The sequence below is a fragment of the Homo sapiens genome, chromosome 4, assembly GCF_000001405.40.
Source record: "Homo sapiens chromosome 4, GRCh38.p14 Primary Assembly".
Taxonomy (NCBI): Eukaryota; Metazoa; Chordata; class Mammalia; order Primates; family Hominidae; genus Homo; species Homo sapiens.
Genome location: NC_000004.12, coordinates 80,255,782 through 80,264,995, shown reverse-complemented (window position 1 = coordinate 80,264,995; position 9,214 = coordinate 80,255,782). Strand labels below are relative to the sequence as shown.

The 9,214-nt window shown below is 43.1% G+C and overlaps 1 annotated feature.

The window, feature by feature from the left end:
* Nucleotides 1,154-1,655: an enhancer, noted in NCBI's record as "H3K4me1 hESC enhancer chr4:81184495-81184996 (GRCh37/hg19 assembly coordinates)". NCBI's record gives its function as "activates a minimal SCP1, AML or CMV promoter by ChIP-STARR-seq in primed H9 embryonic stem cells {active_cell/tissue: H9 hESC(primed)}" and the evidence as "EXISTENCE:reporter gene assay evidence [ECO:0000049][PMID:30033119]".

Here is a 9,214-nt window from a genome sequence, read left to right as displayed (position 1 = left end):
CTTCTTCTGGGGAGGATGATTGTAGGATGGTTCTGAACCTGGGTGCTGTTCCTTCTTCAGGCAATGCCCTGAGGTCTGTGGCAAAGCTGTCAGGGTTTAAGCCACATTGATGCTGCTGAATGCCATTTGTAAGTTCCCCCATGCCACGCAAATACACAGCCCATTCCTCAAGTGACGAAGATTCTCCAAAGCAAATCCAGCTGCTTGTTTCTCCCTTTCCTTTTCCCAAGGAGTCTGCTGAAAGAGGAGGAGAGTGGTTCCTGCCCCAGCTGCACTATCAGCCCCCTGTCTAAACCCAGGAGGTCAAGAGGACTCTGGAGTCCAGTTTCTGGAGCTGTTATCAGCCTCTTGTCTTTGCTCCCTTCTCTCAGTTTCTGCAGCCCCGCCTGCACTGAAACAACCATCCTTGTTTCCCTCTCAACTCCCGCAAGAGCCAAACTGGGGATCAAATCCTTGCCTAGGGATGACCCAGGAAGGCAAAGACACCTGCTCAGGCTTTAGTCTACCTCAAACTGGAGGATGGCAAGATACACTTTTCTGGATTCCAAGGGCTTAGAAAGAGTCAGGGGCTCACTAAAAGGAGACAAGTGACCAGCTGTTGTGGACAGTGATTGAATTTGGCAAACCAGTCCTCAACGCCCGACTGTCTTCCATACTGGGGTGGGAGGATTGGGGGTTGGGCGGGCAGCCGAATGTGCCCACATACTCGGGGCTTAAAAGGAAATCTCCATTGGTGATCATAAGTGTGTAGGGTGGATGCTATTAAACTTTTTTTTTCACAAGAGAGTTATGTATTGGGGCCATTAAAAAAAGCTACAAAAACTGAACAGTGAAACATGAAAGACAGCACTGCGCTTGTTCCGTGAGCTGAGCTGCCAAGCCCCCTTCCTCCGCAGCTCAGCTGAGAGACGAAAGGGTCGCGCTATGCGCCAGGGCTGCGCCCGCCCTGGTCTACATCCTGCCTACCACTCTGAGCAGCCGATCTTCGAGAGCCTCTGTCCACAGCAATTCTGCAGTGGGGAATGTGGGGCGGGGAGCTATCTCAATTTACTGTTTTGGCTACCTCGAGCCCTACTCCTGTGAACTCCACCCAAAAGAGCGCAAGCCTGCACCACACTTTCTCTGGCGACTTTCCGAAAAGTTAATCGCCCAAAGCCCCCTGCTGGGGACATCTCAGCTTTCCCCATTAAGCCTCGGAGCTTGGTCCAGATCTCCAGGTCATGCGCGGATTCGAGCCCACAGCTCAGTTCTCCAATTCCTGCGTTCTCCCAGCCAGGAAAGCAAGGTTGGGAGAAGGCGCAAGCGCCCTGCTTCCTGCAGAGGTAAAACAAACGGCCCCGAAGATTAGTTTCCACTCATCGCCACCTGACAGACGACGGAAAAACTACCCAACAGATTAGCAGATTCCACCAGTCACCTAGGCGCCAGGCAGTGAGTGCGCGGGCTTCGGCTTAGGTCCCCACCCCCTCTTCTTGAGCTCTCTTTCAGCGGTGTCTCACCCCACTAGGCCTCACATTTCCTAGACCAACCCCCTCAGGGTCACTTTTCCTGGACCCCAGCATCTGAACTTTCTTTCCAGGCCTCCCCTATTTCTGTGTGGAAAACTGGTGGTGAATTTCCCCTATCCCTTTCGTAACTACAAGTGTGATCTGGTTACTAGAGACAGAAATCAATGCAAAAGAAGATAAAGTTACCGGTAACCTCTGGTTGGAACCCAGAAGCCTAAGAAAAGAGAAGTCAGGGTGTATAAGTCAAGTCAGAGCCCAATATTTCCTTCACTCTAGAGACCGTCTCAATATTTACAACATTCCCCTGGGTTTAAACTGAGGCCAGGCCTCACTGAGGCAAGGGTCCTGAAGGCAAGACTGTTCATCCTACAATGTCTCATGCTGGGTTGGAAGGACGGACAAGAGATAGATGATGGAATAGAATGAACAACCCTGGCAATGCAAGCCACTGTCCTGGGAGGCTGTCTGACCCAGGAACCAGGCTGCCACTGTGCCAGGCTGATCTTACACAGACTTCTGTTCCAAGAGCCTCAGTTACCCCAAAATCTCCACTCCTGGAGGTGCAGGTGCCATGAGAAATTTGCCTGTTCTGAGCTTTAAGATGACTGTACAGTTTGAAGGCAAGGCCAAATTTTCTTTGTTTGATCCAAAGAAAACCCAAGGATTTTTAGAATGCTTTCCTGGGATAGCTGTTTCAAACATGGTCCCAAAAGCCTCTGCACCCCACCCCTACCCAACTCTATATTCCTATCACCCTTTCATACTCTCAGGCTATACCCAGATAGTACTATCTTTTGTTAATCAGGTCCTGGGAGCCCCACAGTGGCCTCTAATTGCATACACTTTTTAGTAGAGACTGCTATGGACTGAATGTTTGGGTACCCAAAATTCAAGTTAAAACTCTGTTCTTTTATGTGATAGTATTTGGATATGGGGCTTTGGAAGTTAATCAGGTCATGAGGTGGGATTAGTGCATGCCCCTCTGCCTCCCCCTTATAAAAAGAGGAGAGAGCTTTCTTCCTCTCACAACCCCAATCCCTCAAATGAGGAAACAAGGAAGGAGTCCCTCCATGCTGGCACCCTGATCGCAGACTTCCCAACCTCCAGAACCATGAGAAATATGTTTGTTGTTTAAACCATTCTGTCCATGGTTGTCTTGTTATAGCAGCCCAAGCCAACTAAGACAGAAGCACAGTGCATTGCAGGACTCGGAAGCTAACCTGGTGGGGGCCCTCAGTCCAGGTTCTTGCCAGGACCCTCTATTTCCTCCAGGCCTGGCTTCTCACCAGCCAAGTTGGCAGCAACTACAGCAACAAATAGCCTGTGGCTAAAGGAGCACTGAGCTGGGAAGGGCCGGCTGTGTGAGGAAGAACCAAAGACCAAGAGGGACAGAAGAATGTGTGCAGTGTCTACTTTTAGGGTGATGAAGGTATAGTTACAAATTGTGCAAGTCCTGAGGTTAGACTTCTTTCTCCAGGGTCCAGTCCTTCCCTCTGAGAAGAGGCCTGTTTGCAAAAGGCCATTGGCCACTGGACATTATATCTGTGAAGTCAGAAAGTAAAACAGCATTTGCTACTAAAGAGAGGTACTTTGTGACCTAAGTGAACTCAAGGCAATCAGTTTTTCTCATAAAGCCCAACTCCTGTGCTTTCCAGTTATCCCAGTGACTATTTTTGTTTTAGCTTCTGGTACATCCATGCACTAAGTCCCAAACCACTATAGACCCCCAGTTATCCTAGCCTGCATTACCCAGTTGTAGGGAAATACTTTCTCTTAAGAACTGGAAGCCTTTTATCCTGTCTAAGGCCAGCCGTAGAAGATAAAGGATACAATTCCCTGTACTCCTTACACATGCATATGAAAATCATGATTTAAAAATCATACCACCTTTCCCTGCCTCCCAAATAAAGTCCTCTCTGCTCTTTGTAATGGGTTTTCTTACTGGTACAGTCTATATCTAATAATGTCAAAGGGGACATTCTAAACATATGTGGAGGGGTGCAGTACTTCCAGTCTTTTTTTTTTTTTTTTTTTTTTTTATGAAACAGGGTCTAATTCTGTCTCCCAGGCTAGAGTGCAGTGGCACAATCAGGGTTCACTGCAGCTTCCATCTCCTATGCTCAAGTGATCTTCGCACTTTAGCCTGCTGAGTAGCTGTAACTACAGGCACGCACCACCACACCTGGCTAGTTTTTGCATTTTTCATAGAGATGGGGGTTGAGGGGGGTTGGTCTCGCTATGTTGCCCAGGCTGGTCTCGAACTCCTGGGATCAAATGATTTGCCTGCCTTGGCCTCCCAAAGTGTTGGGATTACTGGCATGAGCCGCCAAGCCCGGCCTATACTTCCAGTCTTAATTCCTCAAAAGGAGTGCATTGGGTGGAAATCAGACTTTTCTTATCTATGAGAAAAGAAAAAAAAAGATAAATTAGCATAGCTGCTATTTGAATAGCTCTAGCATTTGGTTTGTATCCACAAAGACAGGCCATAAGCAAATGGGTACTCATTCAAGAAAAGTGGGAATAGAGGATGGGGGGAAAAACGTATGTCCTCTTCTAGAACATCTTTCCTGTGCCAAATGGGAAGGGCAGGAAGAGAACAGAAGTGAGACCAAGCCTGGTACCAGCAAGAAAACAGTAGGAAGCTGCTGGAACTATGATGCACGTGCTATCCATTCACCAGCCCATTCAAAGGCTGTTTGTTCAGAAAATAATTTGATCAAAGGTGACTTTTCAGACTAAGTCTGAGAGCCAGAACACACAGACAATGTTTTATTTATTTATTTTTCAAAATAAAGTGCTTAGGTTTCTTCAGGGGGACAATAATTGGAGATGCAACTCCAATTATTGGGGTGGGACTGCACCGAATCTGAAAGATGTCCTCAACAATAGCAAGTGGATAATTTGCTTCAGTTTAGTTTTTGGTGTGTTTTGTTGTTTTCTTTCAGGAAAAGTTTAGGCATCACATTCTAGAGAAATATTCTTTGCATACTTTTTCTGAAACCAGACACTTTATGGGAAGTCAAAAAGATGATTTTGACTTAAACAAAAGCTGTTAACAAAAATAAAAAAGAAAGAAAAAGAGAGAAGGGAAAGAAAGAAAAGAATTCCTTTTCCTGTGTCCTCTAAAAAGGGAATTATTTGTAAACTGCACTTTTGTCACCTTTAATCATTTTTTTTCAAATTGCAAATTAGCTAGCCCAACAATCTTGGACCATTTATTCAATAAGCACATTATAGGAGCATTTGATAATCATGGTATATAACAACTAAAATAGAACTTACGACACGTCCCCACTTTACCTCCCATGCAGTCATACACAAAATGAGATTTAAAATGGAGTAGAAAGACATGACACATACAACTTAGTTTTAATGTTGTGATCATTTGCTCGTATTATGACAATCATGCTGATAAATTCTGTTACTTCTCATATCTACTGTGTCCACACCCTTGGTCCATTTGCTTTTCATTTCAGTAGCTGGCCCAGGTCAGAGCAATGAGAAGGTCCTAAATTAGCTCCTAAAAAAAGAAAAAAAAGTGACTAATCTTACATTCACAGATTTTTTTTTAAAAAAAGAATTTACTTCATGCAAATCACCCTGCTGTCTTCCCTATCTTTGAAGCTCCTGTGTAATCCTTAAGGGAGGGTTTTAGGAGCATACAGCATATTACAATACGACTTTTCTTGGTTGTAAATGAGCAAATTTTCTGCTGGGAGCTAGAGGAGCACACAGTGGAACTCTGTGTTGTAACCAGGGTCACCATCAAACATATTGTGATTTGATTATTGCTTAGCTGTTTCAATTTTCTTATGATATATATGGTCTTAAGTAAATCATAAGTTCCTCAAAGGAAATCTGTCAGTATACACTGCCTTGTAATCCCCAGAATGCACAATAACTGAAATCCTAAATGAAGATCCTTAAAAGGAATGGCTTCAAAAGATGGCTTAATAATTATTTAAATTTTCTCCCCCAGAGAAGTGAGACTCTACAGCATTTAAAAGTATATGGTAATGGTGAATGATTTTTTTTTTTCCGCCTGCTCTTTCCTTTTTCTAGGGGAGTGAGGATTTGAAAGAGTGTGAGTGTGAGTGTGTGTGTGGGGGAAGGGTGTACGTACAAGTGTTTTCATCGTTTGCATCACCATGGCTCTTAATTACAGTAATCATTTTTGCAAATAGGCTTTGTTTTCTACTCTGAATCCCTGGCTTTTGGCAGGCTGCATTGGGCAAACACCTGTTGTCTGGTAAAACAGAGAAGCACCTGTCAGTGAAGCCACTAAGTACTAACTTAGGAGCTGTCATGGGGGTCTAGGGAATCTTTGCAATTGTCAGAAGAAAGGAAGGAGCACCTGCTTAGGGCCCAGGAGGGTCAAATGACAGCTTATTGACTTCTGACAGAAGATGTCGATGAATACATTCCCTTTCCTCTGCCTACTTCTGAGAAATGCAGCCTGTGGCCACAACGTCTGTTAATGAATGATTGACTGTGGCCAAATTTGAGGAAAAATCGCTTTTAAAGGAAATAGTTTAAGGAATATGAGGGCTTAGAGGCATCAAAAACTAAATGGCTTTTATAGGAGAATATCCAGCCGATAAGAGTGAAAGAGGGAAGTAATAAGAAACGGGAGAGGAAACAAAGAAATATTGACATGAAAAAAGGGACAAAGATGATTTTTTTCTATGTGATCATTTCCTTCAGAAAGTGACCATTTTGAGTGCATTAGTGGTTCTGGGCTAGTCCTATGTATATATATAGATCCAGTATAATAGACATCCCTGGAAAAGTTCTTATCAATTCCCTTGACAGTTTAGATACTTAAATGTGGCTTATGCCTATACATGGAAATGGAGGAAAACAAAATAAAAAAAAAAAGTAAACCTTTGGGAAGGAAAGAGAAAATAAAAAAGCTCACATTTTTTCAAAGATAAATTTTACTACCAGTATTTATCTTTAGAAATCCTAGTCTTTTGTTGCTCATGCTTAAGATACATAGAAATCCACACTGGCTCAGGAAATTTTCCCTTTTTAAAATTTATTTTTATTTTCAATTTTTGTGGGTGCATAGTAGGTGCATATATTTATGGGGTATGGCTCAGGGAAATTTCTTGAACCTCCCTGATCCTGTGAAAGATTACCCACAAAGCTGGATGTTACAAGGATTGGGCACTTGAGCTTTTCCATCTGTATCTCTTTCCAGTTGGAATTACTCTCCACAATATTCTGTGGGAGGAGCTGCCAGCCTGAATTCTTCCTCCAGATGGAGATTGCTTTTCTCTTCTGCCCCATTGTCTCTCATAAAGCCACTCTCCTTTCCTTATATTATTATTTTCCTAGTCTTGGGGGGGTCTCTTAGCAATAAATACAAAGGGAAATTGGGGGTGGATGAAAAAAACTGTAGGCAGGAAGGAAGAGAGGCAGGAGAAATCATTAAGAGAAATTTTAATCTTGAATTCATCCTTAATTTTTCTTTTTCCTGCACTCTCTGTATGCAACCCATTAGAAACTCCTTTTGGCTTTATCTTCCAAATATATCCAGAATCCAAGTACTTTCCACCATCTCCACTGCAACCCTCATCACCTCTCACATGGATGACTGCAATAATTGGTCTCCTTGCTTTTGGCCTTGGGCCCTTAAAATTTATTCTTAATGCAGCAACCAAAATAATCCTTTAAAAAATAAAAGTCAGTTTATGTCACTCCTCTTTCTTTTTCTTTTCTGTTTTTTTTTTTTTTTTTTTTTTTTTAAGACACGATGTCCCTCCATCACGCAGGCTAGAGTGCAGTGATGGAATCACAGATCAGTACAGCCTCAACCTCCCAAGTTCAAGTGATTCTTGCACCTCAGCCTCCTGTGTAGCTGGGACTATATGCTCCCACCACCATTCCCAGATACATGTTTTTATTTTTTTTGTAGAGATGGGATCTTTCTATGCTGCCCAGGCGTGGTTCCAATGCCTGGCTCAAACAATCCTTCCACCTTGGCCTCCCAAAATGCTGGAGTTACAGGCATGAGCTACTGAACCCAGCCCACTCCTCTTCTTTAAACCAACAATCAATTCTTATTTATTTATTTGTTTATTGAGATGGAGTTTCATTCTTGTTGCCTAGGCTGGAGTGTAGTGGCGTGATCTCAACCCACTGCAACCTCCACCTCCTGGGTTCAAGCGATTCTCCTGCCTCAGCCTCCCGAGTAGCTTGGATTACAGGCATGCACCACCATGCCCAGCCAATTTTTATATTTTTAGTAGAGATGGGGTTTCGTCTTGCTGTTCAGGCTGATCTCAAACTCCGGACCTCAGATGATCCACCCGCCTCAGCCTTCCAAAGTGCAGGGATTACAGGCATGAGCCACCACTCCCAGTCAATCAACTGTTACTTTACTCAAAAGCTAAAGTCTTTGAGCGATTATGAAGCCCCTACCTGCTCCCCTGGCTCACTCCTTTCAAACCATGCTTGCTTCCTTGCATTCTTCCAACTCAGCAGCTAGACTCTCATCTTCCCACATTCACAAGGGCCATGTCCTCTGTTGGGACTGCTCATCCCCAATATATTTGTCTGGCTAACTCCTTCTCCTCCTTAAGTCTTTGCTCACGTATTTTCCCCTCAAATGATACCTACACCCTCTATAGAGTCACTCACATCCATACTGCTTATCTTTTAAATTTTTCCACAGTAATTATTTTTGAATAAGCAGTTACAGAGTTCTTACTATAAGCCAGATATTCCAGCACTATTGCCTTGTCTATTTTATAGGTCATAAGAAAATGAGGCACAGAGAGGGTAAATAACTTACCCAAGTCACACAGTTGGGAAGTGGTGGGGCTAAGGTTTGAATTCGGACAGTCTAGCTCTAGGAGTAATGCTTTTATAACTTTGTTTTGCTGCACTCATCACCTTCTAACCCACAAGGGAACATTCTTCCGTATTACATTTATTGCTTATTGTCTGTTTCTCCCTGCTAGCATGTAAGCTTCAGAGGGTAAAAATCTTTCTTTTGTTCACAAGTATTTACCAAACACCGAGAATGATACTTGATATATTGTTGGTACCCAATAATTATTCTTTGAATAAATAATACATTTGAAGATTGAGGGTCTGCTCTCCAGCTTGAGATACATTATTTCGGCTTCATTGTCAAGAACTTTCACTTCTCAGGAACCTCAGCTTTACTCCATGTGGCTTCAGGCAGAGTAGAATGAGGAGAAACAAAATTCTAATCCAGACATTTTATTCCAGCCTATAATTTTTGAATGCAGGAAATTTCCTCAGAGGTGCTGCTCTTATTTCCCTCTGCTTTTATTATGTTTCTTTTACAACTCCACCCATCCCTCTCTACCCCATAAATGAAGTAGGTAAATGTGAGAGGAATCCAGGAAAAAAAGGAGAAGCAGTAGGGTGTTCACCCTTGTTCTTACACACACCAAAACCACTTAACCTTTTAACGTCTTTTTCTATATGAATTTCGTAGTAGCAACATCAAATAGACAGAGAGATTTTGAATCAGAAAATTGGAACGTGTGCCAGAAATGCTACTGGTTCTTTGCGGTACCCACAATTCAAAGCAAAACAAAGAAAACCTTGTCATCCAGATGTCCTGAAAATGCCAGCAGGGCTGAGTAGAAGCTTGTGGTGCTTCAAAACTTAGTTCATTTTGTAAAGATAGCACGGGGAATATAGAAAGTGCTAGTAGAAACCAATAT